Source organism: Homo sapiens, chromosome 11 (assembly GCF_000001405.40).
Source record: "Homo sapiens chromosome 11, GRCh38.p14 Primary Assembly".
NCBI classification, from domain to species: Eukaryota; Metazoa; Chordata; class Mammalia; order Primates; family Hominidae; genus Homo; species Homo sapiens.
This window is the reverse complement of record NC_000011.10, coordinates 129,783,871-129,805,367: the sequence shown is the minus strand read 5'-3', so window position 1 is coordinate 129,805,367 and position 21,497 is coordinate 129,783,871. Positions and strand designations below refer to the sequence as shown.

At 41.5% G+C, this 21,497-nt stretch overlaps 1 long non-coding RNA gene across 1 annotated transcript in view, besides 1 other annotated feature; it reads left to right on the top strand.

Annotated features, from left to right (window-relative positions):
* Positions 1-21,497, top strand: part of LOC124902793 (uncharacterized) — a 52,972-nt gene that overhangs the window by 9,320 nt on the left and 22,155 nt on the right. The gene's annotated exons all lie outside the window — the stretch shown is intronic.
* Positions 1,370-1,870: an enhancer, noted in NCBI's record as "H3K27ac hESC enhancer chr11:129673393-129673893 (GRCh37/hg19 assembly coordinates)". NCBI's record gives its function as "activates a minimal SCP1, AML or CMV promoter by ChIP-STARR-seq in primed H9 embryonic stem cells {active_cell/tissue: H9 hESC(primed)}" and the evidence as "EXISTENCE:reporter gene assay evidence [ECO:0000049][PMID:30033119]".

Here is a 21,497-nt window from a genome sequence, read left to right as displayed (position 1 = left end):
TGTGTTTCCAGGATTTGTTTTGAGGTTTAGAGCTTCTTTTAGCAGTTCATATAGTGGTGGTTTGGTAATGGCGAATTCTCTCAACATTTGTCTGAAAATGACTATATCTTTTCTTCATATATGATGATTAGTTTTGCTGGCTACAAAATTCTTGGCAATCGTTTTGTTTGAGGAGGCCGAAGATAGGGTCCCAATCCCTTCTAGCTTGTAGGGTTTCTTCTGAGAAATCTGCTGTTAATCTGATAGGTTTTCCTTAATAGGTAACCTGGTGCATCTGTCTCACAGCTCTTAAGATTCTTTCCTTTGTCTTAACTTTGGATAACCTGATGAAAATATGCCTAGATAAAGATGTTTTTGCGATGAATTTCCCTGGTGTTTTTTGTGCTTCTTGTATTTGCACGTCTAGGTCTTTAGCAAGGCTGGGGAAGTTTTCCTTGATTATTCCCGTAAATAAGCTTTCCAAGCTTTTAGAATTGTCTTCTTCCTCAGGAGCACTGGTTATTCTTAGGTTTGGTTGTTTAACATAATCTCATACTTCTTGGAGGCTTTGTTCATATTTTCTTACTCTTTCTTCTTTGACTTTGATGGATTGGGTTAATTCAAAGACCTTGTCTTTGAGTTCTGAATTTCTTTCTTCTACTTGTTCAATTCTATTGCTGAAACTTTCCAGAGCATTTCACATTTCTAAAAGTGTGTCCAAAATTTCCTGAATTTTTGACTGTTTTTTTCTTTATTTCCTTGAATATTTCTCCCTTCACTTCTTGTATCATATTTTGGATATCCTTGTACTGGGATTTGCCTTTCTCTGGTCCCTCTCTGATTAGCTTAATAACTAACTTCCTGAGTTCTTTTTCAGGTAAATCAGGGATTTCTTCTTGGTTTGGATCCATTACTGGTGAACTACTGTGATATTTGGGGGGTGTCAAAGCACCTTGTTTTGTCATATTACCAGGGTTGGTTTTCTGGTTCCTTCTCATTTGGGTAGGCTCTGTCAGAGGGAAGGTCTAGGGCTGAAGGCTGTTGTTCAGATTTTTTTGTCCCATGGGGTGTTCTCTTGATGTAGTGCTCACCCCCTTTTCCTGTGGATGTGACTTCCTGTGAGCCAAACTGCAGTAATTGTTGTTTCTCTTCTGAGTCTAGCCACCCAGCGAGTCTGCCCAGTTCCAAGCTGGTACTGGGTGTTGTCTGCACACAGTCCTGTGATGTGAACTGTCTATAGGTCTCTCAGCTGCAGATACCAGCGCCTGTTGCAGTGGAGGTGGTGGAGGATGCAATGGACTCCGTTAGGGTCCTTAGTTTTGATGGTTTAATGCTCTATTTTTGTGCTGGTTGGCCTCCTGCCAGGAGGTGGCATTTTCCAGAAAGCATCAGCTGTAGTAGTGTGGAGAGGGACTGGTGGTGGGTGGGACCCTAGAAGTCCCAAGATTAAATTCTCTTTGTCTTCTGCTACTAGGGTGGATTGGGAAGGACTATCAGGTGGAGGCGAGGCTTGGTGTGATGAGCTGAGACTCTCCTTGGGCGGGTCTTGCTGTGGCTGCTGTGGGGGATGGGAGTGAGATTCCCAGGTCATTGGAGCTGTGTACCTAGGAGGATTATGGCTGCCTCTGCTGAGTCATGCAGGTTGTCAGGGAAGTGGGGGAAAGCCAGCAGTCACAGGTCTCACCCAGCTCCCATATAAACCGAAGGGCCACTCTCATTCCTACTGTGCCTCCCACAACAGCCCTGAGTCTGTTTCCAGGCAGAGGGCGGGATGGACTTGAAAACTTACTGGAGGCTTTGTGCCTCCCAGCTGTGAAAGAAAATGGCTTTAGTTCTTCCCCTTGCCTGTGAAGTCTGTGCACCAGATTCATGCCCTCCCACAAGTTCTGGCTAGGAGGCTTCTCACCCCTTTCAAATTGTTACAAAGTTCAGCTAGAGATTTCCTTCTCCTTGTGGAGTTTAACCGCCTGCTCCTCTGGCCACCCTCCCGATGGATTCCTGTGGTGTCAGGCAGGAATGGGCTGCTTGGGGACCTAGTGAGCTCCCAGCGCCTTTCTGGTGCTTCCTGTACCCCTGTATTTCGCTCAGCTCTCTAACTTGACTCAGCTCCAGGTAAAGTTGGAAACTTCTCTTGCAAACAGACCTTCATCTTCTCTAGTGGGGGTGTGTGTTTGGGAAAGGAGAATCTCCCTTCTCACTTATGCAGTTGGGGCACTCACAGTATTTAGGGTGTCTCCTGGCTCCCACAGGAGCAGTCTGCTTCCTTCAGAGGGTCTTTGGGTCTTCTAAGGATTGCTGTTTTTTTCTTGCAGTCAATCTGGGCTAAAATTCACAATGCAAGCCTCTGCATGCTGCCTTGTTTGGAGCTGCAATCTAGTCCTGCCCCCCATCTGCCATGATCCCAAAATCCCCCTGTATTATCTTTTTGATAATGCTGTTGGATTCGGTTAGCTACTATTTTGTTGAGGATTTTTGCATCTATGTTCATCAGAGATATTGGTCTATAGTTTTCTTTTCTTTCTTTTTTGTTTGTTTGTTATATCCTTAACTGGTTTTGGAATTAGGGTGATACTGACTTCATAGAATGATTTAGGGAGTATTCCCTCTTTCTCTATCTTTTGGAATATTTTCAGTAAGATTGATACCAATTCTGCTTTGAATGTCTGATAGAATTCAACTGTGAATCCATCTGATCCTGGACTTTTTTCATTGGCAATTTTTTTTTTTTTTTCCGAGATGGAGTCTTGCTCTGTCACCCAGGCTGGAGTGCTGTTGAGAGGTGAAGCTGTCTGGGCTCCTGGGTCGGGTGGGGCCTTGGAGAACTTTTCTGTCTAGCTAAAGGTTTGTAAATGCACCAATCAGCGCTCTGTGTCTAGCTAAATGTTTGTAAACGCACCAATCAGCACTCTGTAAAAACAGACTGATCAGCACTCTGTAAAATGGACCAATCAGCACTCTGTAAAATGGACCAATCAGCAGGAAGTGAGTGGGGCCAAATAAGGGAATAAAAGCTGGCCACCCAAGCCAGCAGCGGCAACCCGCTCAGGTCCCCTTCTATGCTGTGGAAGCTTTGTTCTTTCGCTCTTCACAATAAATCTTGCTGCTGCTCACTCTTTGGGGCCACACTACCTTTATGAGCTGTAACACTCACTGCGAAGGTCTGTGCTTCACTCCTGAAGTCAGCAAGACCATGAACCCACCGGGAGGAACAAGTAACTCCGGATGCACCACCTTTATGAGCTGTAACACTCACTACGAAGGTCTGCAGCTTCACTCCTGAAGTCAGTGAGACCATGAACCCACCAGGAGGAACAAAAAACTCCAGTCGCACCACCTTTAAGAGCTGTAACACTCATCGCGAAGGTCTGCAGCTTCACTCCTGAAGTTGGCAAGACCGCAAACCCACTGGAAGGAAGAAACTCCAGACACATCTGAAGATCTGAAGGAACAAACTCCGGACACACCATCTTTAAGAACTGTAGCACTCACCATGAGGGTCCGCGCCTTCATTCTTGACGTCAGTGAGACCAAGAACCCAGCGGAAAGAACCAATTCTGGACACAGTGTGGCATGATCTTGGCTCACTGTGACATCTGCCTCCTGGGTTCAAGCAATTCTCCTGCCTCGGCCTCCCAAATACTTGGGATTATAGGTGCGTGCCACCACACCCAGCTATTTTTTTTGTATTTTTAGTAGAGACTGTGTTTCACCATGTTGGCCAGGCTGGTCTTGAACTCTTGACCTAGTGATCCACCCACCTCGGCCTCCCAGAGTGTTGGGATTACTGTGAGCCACCACACCTGACTTTGTTGGCAATTTTTTTTTTTTTTTTGAGACGGAGTTTCGCTCTTGTTGCCTAGGCTGGAGTGCGATGGTGTGACCTTGGCTCACTGCAATGTCTGCCTCCTGAGTTCAAGGGATTCTCCTGCCGCAGCCTACTGAGTAACTGGGATTACAGGTGCTTGCCACCATACCAGGCTAATTTTTTGTATTTTTAGTAGAGATGGGGTTTCACCATTTTGGTCAGGCTGGTCTCGAACTCCTGACCTCAGGTGATCCACCTGCCTCGGCCTCCCAAAGTGCTGAGATTACAGTTGTGAGCCACCATGCCTGTATGGCAATTTTAAAATTAGTGTTTCAATCTTGCTACTTGTAATTGGCCTGTTCAGAGTTCTATTTCTTCCTGATTTAACCTAGGAGGGTGGTATATTTCCAGGAGTTTATCCATCTCCACTAGATTTTCTAGTTTGTGTGTGTAAAGGTGTTCATAGTAGCCTTAAATGGTCTTTCATATTTCTGTGGTATCAGTTGTAATATCTCTCATTTTATTTCTAATTGAGCTTGTTTGGATTTTTTCTCTCTTATTTTCTTGGTTAATCTTGCTCATGTTCTAGCAGTTTTGTTTCTCTTTTCAAAGAACCAGCTTTTTGTTCCATTTATTTTTTTTAGTTTAAATTTCATTTAGTTCTCCCATCTTTGTTATTTCTTTTCTTCTGCTGAGTTTTTTTTTGTTTGTTCTTGTTTCTCTAGTTCTTTGAAGTGTGACCTTAGATTGTCTATTTGCATTCTTTCATCCTTTTTGATGTAGGTGTTTAATGCTCTGAACTTTTCTCTTAGCAACACTTTTGCTGTATCCCAGAGGTTTTGAAAAGTTGTGTCACTATTATTCAGCTCAAATAATTTTTAAATTTCCATCTTGATTTTACTGTTGACCCAAAGATAATTCAAGAGCAGATTATTTAATTTACATGTATTTTTTATACTTTTGAGGGTTCTTTTTGGAGTTTTCAGTTTTATTCCACTGTGGTCTGAGAGGATACTTGATATAATTTTGATTTTTAAAAACTTACTGAGACTTGTTTTGTGACCTATTATATGGTCTATCTTGGAGAATGTTCCATGTGCTGAAGAAAAGAATGTATATTCTGCAGTTGTTGGATAGAATGTTCTGTAAATATCTGTTAAACTATACCTTGGTGCAAATGGACTTAAGTCCATTGTTTCTTTGTTGACTTTTGGTCTTGACGACCTGTCTAGTGTTGTCAGTGGAGTACTGAAGTCCCCCACTATTATTGTGTTGCTGTCTGTCTTGTTTTTTAGGTCTAGTAGTAATTGTTTTATAAATTTGGGAGCTCCAGTGTTAGATGCATATATAGTTAGGATTGTGGTATTTTCCTGTTGGACAAGGCCTTTTATCATTATATAATGTCCTTCTTTGTCTTTTTAAACTGTTGTTACTTTAAAGTCTGTTTTGTCTGATACAAGAATAGCTACTCCTGCTCCCTTTTGGATTCCATTGATGTAAAACGTCTTTTTCCATCCCTTTACCTTAAGTTTATGTGAGTTTTTATGTGTTAGGTGAGTCTCTTGAAGGCAGCAGATAGTTGGTTGGTGTATTTTTATCCATTCTGCCATTCTGTATCTTCTAAGTGGAGCATTTGGGCCATTTACATTCAATGTTAGTATTGAGATGTGAGGTACTGATGTTCTATTCATCGTATTAGTTGTTGCCTTAATACCTTGTTTTTTTCCCCACTGTATTATTGTTTTATAGGCCCTGTGAGATTTATGATTTAAGGAGGTTCTATTAATATTTTGGTGTATTTTGAGCTTTTGTTTTAAGATTTAGAGCTCATTTAAGCATTTCTTGTAGTGCTGGTTTAGTGGTGACAAATTCTGTCAGCATTTGTTTGTCTGAAAAAAGACTTTATCTTTCCTTCATTTATGAAGCTTAGTTTTACTGAATACAAAATTCTTGGCTGAAAATTATTTTGTTTCAGGAGGCTAAAGATGGGTCCCCAGTACCTTCTGGCTTATCAGGTTTCTGCTGAGAAGTCTGAAAAGTTTTCCTACACAGGCTACCTAATACTTTTGCCTCACAGCTCGTAAGATCCTTTCCTTAACATTCTTGACTTTAGACAACCTGATGATTATGTGCTTAGGTGATGATCTTTTTGTGATGAATTTCCCAGGTGTTCCTTGAGCTTCTTGTATTTGGATGCCTAGATCTCTAGCAAGACCAGGGAAGTTTTCTCAATTATTCCCTCAAACAAGTTTTCCAGATTTTTAGATTTCACTTCTTCCTCAGGAACATCAGTTATTCTTAGGTTTAGCTGTTGGGAGGGTTTGTTCATTTTTAACTTCTTTTTTTCTTTGTCTTCGTCTGATTGGGTTAATTCAGAAGCCTTGTCTTTGAGGTCTGAAGTTCTTTCTTCTACTTGCTCTAGTCTATTGTTGACCTTTCCAATGCATTTTGTGTTTCTTTAAGTGTATCTTTCATTTCCAGAAGTGATTTTTTTCATTGTGACATCATTTCTCTGGAGAATTTTTCATTCATATCCTGTATTGCTTTTTAAATTTCTTTAAGTTGGTTTTCACCTTTCTCTGGCATTTCCTTGAGTAGCTTAATAATCACCCTTCTGAGTTCTTTATCTGGCAATTCAGAGATTTCTTCTTGGCTTGCATCCATTGCTGGGGAGCTGGTGTGATCATTGGGGGTATTATAGAGCCCTGTTTTGTCATATTACCAGAATTGCTTTTCTGTTCTTTTCTCATTTGGGTAGACTATTTCAGTGAAGAAATCTGAAACTCAAGGCCTGCTGTTCAGATTCTCTTATCCCATGGTGTGATCCTTAGATGTGGTGCTCTTCCCTTTCCCCTAGGACTGGGGCTTCCTAAGAGCTGGACTATAGTGATTCTTACTGCTCTTCTAGGCCTAGCCACCCAGTGGAGCTACCAGGCTATGTGCTGGTGCTGGGGAATGTCTGCAGAGTTCTGTGATGTGGTCTTTCTTCAGGTCTCCCATCCTTGGATCGCAGCACCTTCTCTGGTGGAGGTGGCAGGGGAGTGAGGTAGACTCTATGAAAGTCCTTGGTTGTAGATATGTTTAGTGTGCTGGCTTTCTGTAATGCTGGTTACACTAGTGGTAAAGTTGTCACATGAACACACACAGGACCTTTGGTTAGCCAGGATGTTTCAGGAAGTGGAATTAGGTGTTGTCTTTTCCTTCCTGGGATCAGGGTTATTCTGTCATGAGTTACTGTGGTGGCCTGAGTTGGTTGGCCTCTAGCCAGGAGATGGTGCTTTCAAGAGAGCACCAGCTGCAGTAGTCGTAGGGGGCTCTAAGCTTGCCCTAAGATGGTCAGGGTAAGTATTTTGGATACTCAGGTGATTGGCAGGGCCATAAAGCTCCCAAGAGTTTCTGAGTTTTGTGTTCAACTACCAGGGCAAGTAGGAAAATACCATCAGGTTGGGGCAGAGTTAAGAGGGTCTAGGCTCAGATTCTCCTTGGGTGGGGCTTGCTGCAGCCACTGTGAGTGATGGAGGATAGTTCTCAGGCCAATGGGGTTATGTTCCCAAGAGGATTTTGGCTACCTCCACTGTATCATATAGTTTGCCAGGGTAGTAGGAGATAGCTGGTAGCAAGAGGCCTGACCCAGCTCCCACACCATTGGTCAGGCCAGCCTCTCTTCTGCAGTGGACCATTCAGACCTTGCCCCAGGCTGTGAGCTTACCCCACTGAGAAAGCAAGCACGGCTTTCAGACCTCGCCTCTCTCCATCTGCCTACTTCATTGGCAGCACCTTGTATCCACAACACCTCCCACTCATCACCTGGACTCCACTCAAGAAAATTTGTGCCCAGTTGAAACCACTACCAATTTCACTTGGGAGGTTTCTTCACCCTGTGGCCCTTCCCCAATTCCACTGGCTGCCTTCCTTGAGGGCCTCTGTAAGATATACTCAGGGATGGCTTCCCTGGGGTTGAGCTGGAGACTTGGAGTACATCCAAGGCACTTCCCAATGCTACTTCTACTTTTCTACTTTGTGTGAATCCCTAAATCCATTTAATCTCTAGGTAAGGTTAAATTCTTCTCCTGTGATCTGGATTTTCGGATTCCCCAGTGGGGATGTGTATTCAGAGGTAAGTTTTCCCTTTCTCACACTTTGGGAACTCACAGTTTTTTTGCCTGTTTCATGAAATTTGCATTGGCGTGCTGCTTCTTTCAAAGGCTCTGTGAATTTTTTCGCTTTTCCTGGTATGTTCCTGCCATGGTTCTTAGAGCAAAAGATCATGGTGTGAGTCTCCACATGCTGTTCTGTCCATCCATGTGGGAGCTGCACATTAGCTCTGTCTCCTAGCTTCCATTTTCCCTGATTTTAATTTTTTTTTTTAAATAGAGATGAGGTCTCCCTATGTTGCCCAGGATGGTCTCAAACTCCTGAACTGAATTGATCCTTCTGCCTTGGCCTCCCTAAGTGCTGGCATTATAGGTGTGAGCCACTGCACCTGGGTGACAAACCAGTTTTGAAAAAGTAAGTCTGACTGTTTAGGTTCGTTTTACAGGTCAAGTTAATCTTCAATCAAGTAGTTAAAAGGTAAATTACTAATAATCAATTATAGAATAATACAATAATACCAGTTAATTATTACCAAGTTGTTTTAGTATAATAGTGGGACAGATTAGTGGGTTTCTTTTTATAATCTTTTTATTCATTTACACCGAGGGAATATAGCATCTTTCATCCAAAGAACTGAACATTTAATCCAAAGAACTGAACATTTTAAAACATGAGCATTTAAAAAGCGATTATATTTTGAAAACCTGGAGTCTTGCTGTTAAATCTCTTTGATTCCAGATACACAATTTTCTGGAAGTCATTATATTAGGGACAATGAAAGAGGCTCAGAAAGAATTCTGATTTCCTTTCACAATACAGTCATTTCCCAAAACCTAGTGCTGGGCTTGCAAAGCAAAAACACACAAATCTTACAAAGCAAAAACACACAGATTTTCCTTGCAGTGACCAATATTGCAAGAAAAATTAGTGTTCTTAAATGAATGTAATTATATGTGGAACTTAGCAAAGGCAAGGATGGCATTTTAATTCAATGGGAAGTGGTTTATGTGTTGCTAGTATAATTGACTATTATTTTGGAAGATCTTATCATAGAGTTTCTCATTATCTAATCTCTCCTTGGCCATCCTGGTGCTAGCCATCCAGAATAAGTATTATTATTTTTTCCAGCTAATATGGTTTGGCTCTGTGTCCCCAGCCAAATCTCATGTTGAACTGTAATCCTCAGTCTTGGGGGAGGGACCTGGTGGGAGGTGATTGGCTCATGAGGCAGATTTCCCACTGCTGTTCCCATGATCATGAGTGAGTTCCCACGAAATCTGGTTGTTTAAAAGTGTGCAGCACTTCTCCCTTTGCTCTCTCTCTCCTGCCGCAATGCGAAGACATGCTCATTTATCCTCCACCCTTCTGCCATGATTGTAAGCTTCCTGAGGCCTCCCGAACCATGCCTCCTGTATAGCCTGTGGAACTGTGAGTCTATTAAAACTCTTTTCTTTATAAATTACCTAGTCTGAGGTAGTTCTTTATAGCTGTGTGAGAACTGACTAACACAGAAAACTCATACCAGGAGAATTGGGGCATTATTATAAAGATACCTGAAAATGTGGAAGCAATTTTGAAACTGGGTAACAGACAGAGATTGGAACACTTTGGAGGGCTCAGAAGAAGACAGGAAGATGAGGGAAAGTTTGGAACTTCTTAGAGACTTGTTGATTGGTTTTGACCACAATGCTGATAGTTATATGGACAACGAAGTCCAGGCTGAGATGGTCTCTGATGGAGATGAGGGACTTACTGGGAAGTGAAGCAAAGGTCACTGTTGCTATGCTTTAGAAAGAGACTGGCAGCATTGTGCCCTTGCTCTAAGGATCTGTGGAACTGTGAACTTGAGATGATTTAGGGTATCTGCTGAAAGAAATTAATAAGCATCAAAGCATTCAAGAGGTGGTCTGGCTGCTTCTAAAAGCCTATGTTCATTTGCATAAGCAAATGAGAAGAGAAGCAGAGCATATTTAAAAGAGAAGCAGAGCATAAAAGTTTGGAAAATTTTCAGCCTGACCATGTTGTAGGAAAGAAAAACCCATTTTCTTGGGAGAAATTCAAGCCTGCTGCAGAAATGTGCATAAGTAAAGAGAAGCCAAATGTTAATAGCCAAGACAACGGGGAAAGTGCCTCCAGGGCACTTCAGAGACCTTCATGGCAGCCCCTCCCATCACAGGCCTGGAGGCCTAGGAGGGAAAAATGGTTTTGTGCACCAGGTCCAGGGCCCCACTGCTCTGTGCAGCCTTGGGACATGACGCCCTGTGTCCCAGCCACTCCAGCTCCAGCCTTGGCTAAAGGGTCCAAAGTATAGCATGGGCCATTGCTTTAGAGGGTGCAAGCCCCAAGCCTTGGTGGCTTCTGTGTGGCATTGGGCTTCCAGGTGCACAGAAGGCAAGAGTTGAGGTTTGAGAGCCTCTGCCTAGATTTCAGAGGATGTATAGAAATGCCTGGATATCCAGACAGAAGTCTGCTGCAGGGGCAGCGTCTTCATGGAGAACCTCTACTAGGGCAGTGCAGAAGGAAAATGTGGAGTTGGAGCTCCCACACTGTTTCCCCACTGGGGCACTGCCTAGTGGAGCTGTGAGAAGATGGCCACCGTCCTCCAGATCCCAGAATGGTAGATCCACCAACAGCTTGCACTGTGTGCCTGGAAAAGCCACAGGCCTACTCAATGCCAACTCTTGAGAGCAACTGTGGGAGCTGAGCCCTGCAGAGTTACATGAGCATAGCTGCCTAAGGCCTTGGGAGCCCACCCCTTGCATTAGTGTGCCCTGGATGTGAGACATGGAGTCAAAGGAGATTATTTTGGAGCTCTAAAATTTAATGACTTCTCTGCTGGGTTTTGGACTTGCATGGGACCTGTAGCTCCTTTGTTTTGGCCAATTTCTATCTTTTGGAGCAGGAGCACTTACCCAATGACTGTATCCCCATTGTATCTTGGAAGTAATGAACTCATTTTTGATTTTACAGGCTCATAGGTGGAAGGGACTTGCCTTGTCTCAGATAAGACTTTGGACTTGTGGGGACTGATGGGAAGGCATGATTGATTTTGAAATGTGACAAGGACATGAGATTTGGGAGGGGTTGGGGTGGAAAAATATGGTTTTGCTTTGTGTTCCCACCCAAATCTCATGCTGAATTGTAATCCCTAGTGTTGCAGGAGGGGGCTGGTGGGGGGTGATTGGATCATGGTGGCAAATTTCTCCCTTGCTGTTCTTGTGACAGTGAATGAGCTCTCATGAGGCCTCTGGTTGTTTAAAAGTGTGTGGCACTTCCCCCTTTGCTCTCTCTCTCCTGCCATCATGTGAAGATTTTGCTGCTTCCCTCTTGCCCTTCTTCCATTATTGTAAGTTTCATGAGGCCTCCCCAGTCATGCCTCCCATATAGTCTGTGGAACTGTGAGTTGATTAAACCTCTTTTCTTTATATATTACCCAGTCTCAGGTAGTTCTTTATAGCAGTTTGAGAACGGACTAACACACCAGCCTTCCTTTTAGATAGGCGGAATTATGTGACTAAGTTCAGGCCAATGGGCTGTGAGTGGAAATGATACAGGCAACCTCCGAGGGGTGTCCTGAAAAGAAGAGAGTGTGCCCATCTTCTCCCTTTCCCCTCTCCTGCTGCCTGGAAGATGGTAATGGGTCATCTTAGACCAATGTTAGGGCAAGAGGAAGCTAGATTCTTGGATAGTTTCACACAGTGGTTTCCTACTAGCGTAGACTACTAAACTAGTGTCCACTAGTGCCCACCTGGAATGACCACCTCCAGACTGTTAGGTGGAAAGATAAATAAAATTATATCTATGTAAGTCACAGTTACTTGAGGTTTTTGTTATATATAGCTAATTCCATATCCTAACCAAAGCAGAATATCTCCCCTTTTGCTTTACATGATAAATAAACAAACATTAAAGATGGGTTAAAGAAAAATCTCAATATACCATTCAATTTGCCCAATAATCAGTTTAGGAACTCCACTGTACAGAATTAGTAGATAAGAATAATCTTAAAGATCCTTATTGCAGCATTGTGCAAGATAGCAAATGTCTGTCAACATGGGAGTAGTTAAATATAGCATGCCTTTTATTGTATTTCTGTGATGTGTTACATTGAAAAATGATGAATTAGATTTATATTTATTGACCAGGAAAATAGTTATGATGCATTGGTAAAGTTAAAAAGTTGCAGCTGGCTGGCCTTGCTACCTTTGTGCTTGCATTGCCCACAAACCTGTAGTTAGAAGAACCTGCCTGGGGAGGGGTCATGACTGGGAGATCCAAGGATGAGAGGGCCTGGAGCCCTGCAGAAGCTAGGTGGTATTTGGGCCCATCTGAATAAATGGTAACTAAGTCATTTATGGGGCCTCCCTGACTCCTCTTTCATAGCCTCCTCCCTACCTGCTCTGAGACTCCTACCTTTCACTGGGCCCCCTCCTACTTTCATGCCCTCCACTCTTTCCTAAATGCAAGTCTCCTCCCCGAGCCCATATCCGCCTTGACTTTCTCTCTGCTCTTCTCACTGGATCCTGTTCTCACTCATCAAACTTTGAGTCTGAGCCATCTCTGCCTCTCTCCTTCCATTCTCACCTTTCCTGTCACACCAGATTACTTTTCTCCTAGGCTGTTCCTCGTGCCAACCTTTCTTTGGTCAATCTTGCTGATCCAGAACAGTCCCTCCCTTCTTTCTATTCCATAACAGTCCTCCAAAACTCTAAGTCTATTGGGAAAGCCCGTCTTCTGCTAAGTGCATTCTTCTAGAGGCAGAAGGTCTGTCATCACACCCTGAGTCCCAGTTGCAAAGAGACCAGGCCCTTTGCCCAATCTTGATGAAATGATGGGAAAGTGCTAGCCTTGTCCTGTAAGGATGCCACTTTAAGCCCAATGTCTCTTTCTATGTGGTTTCAGAGTCCAGTGCCTCCAGCAGCAGGAGCTTGGCAGGTTGTTACAAAGGGATTGCTGTGATGAAGTTCTGATGGTTGCATCAGGGTTTGGGGGTGCACACAGGGTTTGGGGGTCCTGGCAGGTGCAGGTGTTTGATCCTGTTTCTGCTTGATTATGTGACCTGGGAGAAGTCAGTTAATCTCTTTTGAGTCTCAGCTTCTAGGTTCTCAGCAGTACATGGCAGTTATCATTGTGGGGCTGGTGGTTTATCCTTCATCAGAACCTGAGACTATCCAGAAATGACTGAAAATTGAAGATACAGAGGCAAGCATGTAGGAGGTGAAAATTCAAGATACAGGCCATACAGTGGCTCACACCTGTAATTCTAGCATTTTGGGAGGTCAAGATGGGAGGATTGCTTGAGGCCAGGAGTTTGAGACGAGCCTGGACAACACGGCAAGACCCCATCTCTATAAAAATTTTAAAAATTAGCGAGGCATTGTGGCACACACTTGTAATCCTAACTACTTGAGAGGCTGAGGCAGGAGGATCGTTGGAGGCTGCAGTGAGCTATGATGGTGCCACTGCACTCCAGTCTAGGAGTCTAGGAGACAGAGTGAGACCCTGTCTCAAAAAAAAAAAAAAAAAAAAAAAAAAAAAAAATTCAATACAGAGCCAGGCAGGTAACAAGGACAAGTTGAGGGTGGCTTAGCAGGGTCCACACTGAACTATAGAATGCCTTTCTTTCTTTCTAAAATGTGTTAAAATAAATATAAACTTTACCATTTTATCTATTTTTAATTGCACAGTTCAGTGACATTAAGTATATTTACACAGGTTGTGCAACTGTCATCACTATCCATTTCCAGAACCTTTTCATCACCTCACACTGAAACTCTGTACCCATTAAACAGTAACTCCACATTCCTCCCTCCCCCTAGCCTTGGTAACCACTGTTCTTTCTGTCTCTGTGAATTTGACTACTGTAGGTACCTCATATAAATGGAATCATACAATATTTGTCTTTTTGTGTCTGACTTATTTGACTTAGCGTAATGCCTTCAAGTTCATCCATGTTGGGTCACGTATCAGATTTTCATTCCTTTTGAAGGCAGAATGATATTCCATTGTGTGTGTGTACATATATATTTTGTTCATCATTTGATGGATATTCAGATTGTTTTCATATTTTGGCTATTGTGAATTATCTTTTTGATGTGCTGTCGGATTTGGCTTGCCATGACTCAGTTTTAATGGGTTGTGTGGGTTCTATGAATTATCTTCATTATTGTCTTAGTCTGTTTGTGCTGCTATAACAAAATATCTAATACTGAGTAATTTATAAGGACCAGAAATTTATTTCTCACAGTTCTGGAGGCTGGGGAGTTCACAATCAAGGTGACAGCAGGATCTGGTGAGAGGCCAGCTGCTGCTTCCAAGATAAAACCTTGTTGCTGCATCCTTTGGAGAAGAGGAACTCTATGTCCTTACTTGGTGGAAGGCATGGAAGGGGAAAAGGGGTGAACTCCCTCAGTTAAACCCCTTGGGCCCCTAATTCCATTCATGAGGGCTCTGCTTCCCAAGAGTCACACCTCTTAATACTGTTGCATTTGGATTAAATTTCAGCATGAATTTTAGAGGGAACAGAAACATTCAAACTATACCAGTTATCCAATTTGTTGGAGTCCAACTGTCCATAATACTCTTAAAATCTTTTTTATTTCTGTAGAATTAGTAGTAATATCCTCACTTTCATTTCTGGTTTTAGTAATTTGAGACTTCTCTCTTTTTCTCTTAGTCAGTCTAGCTAAAGGTTTGTCAGTTTCATTAATTTTTTTCAAAGAACCAATTTTGAGTTTTGTTAATTTTCTCTATTGTTTTTCTGCTCTTTATTTTATGTATTTCTGCTCTAATCATTATTATTCCCTTCCCTTGGCTAGATTTTGGTTTTGTTTGTTCTCATTTTTCTAGTTCCTTGAGTTGTAAAGTTGTTGATTTGAGATCATCACTCTTTTTAAAATACAAGCATTTTCAGCTATACTTTTCTCCCCCAGCACTGCTTTTGTTATATTCCACAAGTTTTGGTATGTTGTGTTCTCATTTTATTCATCTCTAAGTATTTTCTGATTTCCTGTGTGATTTCTTCTTTGACCTGTTGTTTTCTTAAGAATGTGTTGCTTAATATCCACAAATTTGTAATTTTTCAAGTTTTCCTTCTGTTAGTGGTTTCTAACTTCATGTTTCTGTGGTTAGAGAAGATACTTTGTATGATTTTTATCTCTTAACATCTACTGAGATTTCATTTGTGGCTTAACATATGGTCTTCCTGAAGAATGTTCCATGTGCACTTGAGAAGCATATGTGTTCTGTTGTTGTTGGATAGAGTGTTCTGGATATGTTAGATCGAGTTGGTAGTTTTTTTTCTTTTTGTTCATTTGATTCACATTAATGAGATTATATTACACACATATACATTGTTGTTTAAAAAAATGTTTACGTGTGTGTTACATGTATGAGCATAACAGGAAGGTAAGGAAAGCTACCTTGGTTACTTATTTTTTAATTATTTTTTAAAGACAGAGTCTCACTTTGTCACCCAGGCTGGAGTGCAGTAGCCATGATCTCGGCTCACTGCAACCTCCACCTCCTGGGTTCATGCAATTCTTATGCCTCAGCCTCCCAAGTAGCTGGGATTACAGGTGTGCACCACTACGTCTGGCTAATTTTTGTATTTTTAGAGAAGGGGTTTTACCATGTTGGCCAGGCTGATGTGGAACTCCTGGCCTCAAGTGATCCACCCGCCACAGCCTCCCAAAGTGGTGGGATTAACAGGTGTGAACAACTATGTCCAGCCTCTTAGTTTTCCTAGGAACATGACTGGACAGGAACAAGGCAGGGGAAGAGATTGACTTCTCTTTTTTTTCTGAGATATTAAACATTTTATTATAAAAAAGGTTTTGTATTAGATGATTTTGCCCAGCTATAGGCCAACATTAAGTGTTCTGAGCACATTTAAGATAGGTTAGGCTAAGCTAGGATGTTCAGTAGGTTTGGTGTATTAAATGCATTTTTAACTTATGGTATTTTCAGTTTACAGTGGGTCTATTGGAACATAGCCCTATTGTCAGTCAAGAAACTTCTGTATTCCAATGTTTATGAATATAATAATGTTTTTTGTACAATGAAAAAGTCATAATGCCCATATACTTCTGAAATTAACACAATAAAAATTCCAGATAACATTTACAGATTTAAAAGTACACACACATTTTAATAGACATGTAAAACCTTTCATATGACTTTCAGGCATATCTACTTGGCCATTGCAGGCAATAACATATTAAGAGAGACTATCATTCCACTGGTTTGGTGAGAGTACCTGTAAACATGTACCAATAAAAATTATGTAATAATTAAAAATTATGTAAGCACCAAACATTAACTCCAAAAACATGACACCAAATACCTGAAAAAAAAGTTAAGTGATCCCAAACACTGCCATGAATGAAGCAACTTTCTCAGGACCCTTAAAATTAACTTATTTCCCATCATAACAAACCAATTCCCTCATTTTACAAATGAAAATAATGTTCAAAGAGCAAGACCAGTGACTAACACGACTTCTGATACAATACCAAGTTATGACTTCGCATCCACTGAATATACAGGATTAACGCAAATTAGTAGTGACTGCTTTAAGACAACATTTGAACTCTTTGGAAGTGGGTGTTAATTATTTAATTAATTAAATAAAAATTTAGATGTGGCGGAAAAGCTTGGATGACTTACTTTCACACCACCATTATCTTGAATGGGCTATTCAAATACTCTAATGGAAGGAAAAGATTACTCACTTTTTTTTTAGGTCTTTAGTGATTATTACTAGGCTCAGTAGAAACCAGAAGACAATTATTCTCTTAAATATTGAAAAGAGGCAGTAATATAGATAAAGCACATTATTTTCTGAGACTATCCGATGATAGAAACAAAGTTGGCTGAATTCCTTAGGTATTAGAATAAAACACACTAGAATAAACATAAGCTTGATCATTGAGACCTCATGGCAGATCACTTTAAATGAGGTCAAAGAGTATTATTATAAAAAGACAATATATTTCTAATGTTTTGTTTACACACACCACAAACCAGGAAGTTAAACACAAAATAATGTACACTCACTTTCATTATCCTCTATTAGTTTTCACATGGCTTTAACAGTGAAAGAATTTCTAAACTACATTCTCAAATGCAGTAGACTTAAAAAGCCATAAAGTGCTAAACAGAAAAAGATACAACAAAATACGAAACAACTTTGCTTATAATATACAGGGTGGATATTATAAAGAACATTTGGAAATTACTACCCACTTCAGCTTTCCATCCAAGAACACAACCATAAAAATCAAGGCAAGATGTAATGGACTCCTCTTTGAAGACAAGACACTGCTGGAATAAGAGGAAAACCTTTTCACTTTGTGTGGCGTCATTCTGCTTACAGAAACAGTCTTTCAGGAACCTGCATTTACAATATAGCAATCACATGTATACTAAAGGTAAAAAAAAAAAAAAAAAAAAAAAAGACCAAACCCTCAGAAGAGATTAACTTCTTTTCAGAAGTATGCTGCAGGCTGAAGTAAGGATGAAGGTGGCATGTGATGACTATCCCAATCATGGCCTTTGGACCTGCTGAGCAGTGGGAACTATAATTTGTTCAACTTATCCACTTACATGGAATCCTTGCAGAAATTGTGGCTGATCACTGTTGAAGGAGGTTCTGTGATAGACTAGACTTATGAGATGCATGAATAGCTCAGAGTCACTGGACACCTCTTGTGCAACATTCAATGTCTTCCCAGCCTCACCTCTTATTTTGGTCATAGCTGTGGTCAGTTGTTCATGCAAGCTTTGACAGGTTTTGTACAGGGATAAACAGATAATGCTTCCTGTCTGGTTGTGCTACTGATCACTTGTTTTCCACCCTGGGGCGTATCTGACTCTTTGAAAGGTGTAGAAACTTGGTAGGAACCCACCTAATGGTCATGCATGTGCAACTGGGAATTTGGATGGAATAAATACCCAGGAGGCTACTCTTGATCAGTGAGGAGTAGTAGCCAGTGTATAAATGCTTTACCTCTTTGCCATTAGGTGGATAATTCTGAGACATGTTTTAAAATGCTTCTCAAAAAATACTAGTTAGAAAAAAAGAAAAAGGCTCCCAGTGGCAAACATGTCCCCTCTTCCTAGCATTCCCCATGGCATTCACTCCTTCTCTGGAATCACTTTCCAAAAGGCACTGCTTACACAGAAGTCCTTTCCTTGGGCTCTAACTTGGGGAAACCTAGGTTAAAAAAAAAAGTTTGTTAAAAAAAACAGGAGCTAGCTTGAAGGGACATTCTGTCTAACGATGGGATAATTTGAAAACCCAACATATGCCAACAATTTATAAAAACATTGAATATATATAAAAACATTGAATATATAAAAATCATTATAGTTCAAAAGAGAAAGATAAAACTAGACAGTTTTGGAGATTGCCAAGGCACCAAATTATTTGTTAAAAAATTATTAATTGAAAGGAAATAAGCATTTATCTTACCTTTTTGGTATGAACGGTGTATCAGGAAAATTAAATAGTCTTAGAGAACGAGGGAGAGTTTTTATTTATAGGATAATTCTAGCTAATGAATGTAAATGATAGAATTAGAAAATCATTTGGCAATTCCTAATAAAACAATTAATACAGGCAATGATTATTAAATCTAACAAAAGATGTGCAAGACGTCTACACTGAAATCTGTAAAAAAATATTGAGAGAACTTAAGACCTACGTAAAGAAGGCATATATTATGTTCATGTCTTGAAAGACTCACTGTAGTAATAATGTTAATCCTTTCCAAATTGATCCATAGAGCTGATGCAAATTCAATCAATCCTTGGTGTGTGTGTGTTAAACAATACACTGATGTCAAAAAACAAATACAGAAATGCACTTACATGTTTATCACAGCCTGTGAAAGCAGCCAGGAGGGAAGCTGTACCCTGCAAAGCCGCACGGGTGGAGCTGCCCAAGGCACTGGGAGCCCACCTCTTGCATCAGTACACCCTGGATGTGAAACATGGAGCCAAAGGTGATCATTTTGGAGCTTGAAGATTTGACTGCCTTGCTGGATTTCGGACTTGCATGGGGCCTGTAGCCCCTTCATTTTGACCAATTTCTCCAAATTTCTCCCATTTGGAATGGATGTATTTACCCAATGCCTGTACCCCTATTGTATTTAGGAAGTAACTAACTTGCTTTTGATTTTACAGGTTTATAGGTGGAAGGGACTTGCCTTATCTCAGATGAGATTTTGGACTGTGGACTTTCAAGTTAATGCTGCAATGATTTTGTAAAGACTCTGGGGGATCGTTGGGAAAGCGTGATTGGTTTTGAAATGTGAGAGCATTGTATTTGGGAGGGGTCAGGGACAGAATGATATGATTTGGCTGTGTCCCCAGCCAAATCTCATTTTGAATTGTAGCTCCCATACTTCCCACATGTTATGGGAGGGACCCAGTGGGAGTTAATTGAACCATGAGGGCGGGTTTTTCCCTATGATGTTCTTATGATAGTGAATAAGTCTCACAAGATCTGATGGTTTTAGAAAGGGGAGTTCCCCTGTACCTGCTCTCCTTTCCACCATGATTATGAGGCCTCCCCAGCTATGTGGAACTGTGAGTCCATTAAGCCTCTTTCCTTTATAAATTCTCAGGTATGTCTTTATTAGCAGCTTGAGAACAGATTAATACACCAAGTGAGTATCTTCCCTCTCCATTTGGGTTGTTTCTTCCCTCCATGTAAAAGCTCAGCACTGCCCAACATATTTAAACAGTTCCTTTATGAGACACGTTAATTTTCTTCTGCTGGAAGGCATACTGTGGGGACAGCCTATTAAGCCTCAAACCTCTTTTTCTAATTTCTGCCTGGGAAAAATTTGGAGTCAGAGGCCTTACCTAATATTTCATATCCTACAGTGCCACCTATTGGGATGGGATTTTTTTTTTTTCTCCATGGGGGCCCTATCGGCCCTTCATCCAAAACCTCTAGTTCCCCAATTCATCTGCCTCCTATGTCTATTAGGGACCAGGCTCCATGCCCCATCTGTAAACAGCAAAGCTCCACCTTTAACAGTTGAGAGGACAGCTATTCAATTCATATGTTCTTTTGAGACATCTGTTCTACATTCCACCTCCATTGGCATTTAAACAAAAAGGGGATTTTATGTTTGTAAGTCAATTGGTCCCACTCTCTGGGATTTCAATGTTTTGCTAGGGGCATAGCAAGGGAAGCCAGAGATAGTATTGAAACACTTCCTCCTTTAAAGGGTCTCACCCAAATACAACCTCTCCTGGACACCTAGGGTACCCTGGGAGCCTTATGGGCCAAGTGGTTCTAGGAAACCAGCAGGGCAAAGGGTTGGGGCCTAGTGCAGGTCACCATGACTAATCCTGCTGACTAGCTCCTCTATATCCATGGATGAAGGTCATGCTTGCATCCATGGGGCAGTGGCTATGATGGTCACTGGGACCCAGATGATGGGAGAAAATGGGTGAAGGGGGATGCCCTTTTGGCCTTCCCTTCCACGCTGGGTCGCCTCTTCCCTTTTTTCTAGATGGGTAACATCCCATCTTCAAGCCTTCGCTCCCCTCAAGTGTAACCTGGATCTCCTTTAACCCTCAGGCCCTGAAGTTTGCTCTGGGCAAGCCTCAACTTCACTCACAGAAGCCTTCCAGGATTTAACCCAAGTATTTAAACTGTCCTGGAAGAATGTACCAGGGAAAGAGAATCCAATGAGGAAAGTAGCAGTGCCCTTGGAGGATCCTAAATAGGACTATGATGATAGCATCTGAAAATGGAGAAGGAAACCCTTTCAAATGTGTATATTGGAGGGCTTGAAAGGGCTAAAGCCATACCTATTAACTATTCCAAGCTTTCCATGATAGATCAAAAACTAGATGAAAATCCCTCAACCATTTTTTTTTCTTTTGAGATGGAGTCTTCCTCTGTCACCCAGGCTGGAGTGCAATGGTGTGATCTTGGCTCACTGCAACTTCTGCCTCCTGAGTTCAAGTGATTATCCTGCCTCAGCCTTCTAAGTAGCTGAGATTACAGGCACTTGACACCATGCCTGGCTAATTTTTGTATTTTTAGCAGAGGTGGGGTTTCACCATGCTGGCCAGGATGGTCTCGAACTCCTGACCTCAAGTGATCCATCTGCCTCAGCCTCCCAAAGTGTTGGGATTTCAGACATGAGCCACCGCGCCTGGCCTCAATCTTTTTATTTCAATGAAGAGCAGGTTTATTACTCAGGCAGCTCCTGATATTGAAAGGAAGTTGCTGAAACAGGCCCTGTCCAAGATCTTTCTAATTTTTTCTCACCCTCAAGTTGAAACTTTACAGTATGTAAATGACACTCTCCTCTGTGTCCCAACTGAGGAAGTCTCAGGAAGGCACTGAGGCTCTCCTCAATTTCTTAGCTAAAAAGGGGATACAGGGTCTCAAAATCTAAAACTCAGTTCTGTCAGACTTCAGTAAAGTATCTAGGCTTAGTCTTATCAAAAGAGACGAGAGCACCAGGTGAGGAAAGGATTAAGCCCATTTCCTTTAACAGTTGAGGGGATTTTTAGGCATTGCAGGGTTTTGCAGACTGTGGGTACCTGGGTATGGTGAAATAGCTCGCTCTTTATACCACCTCATGAA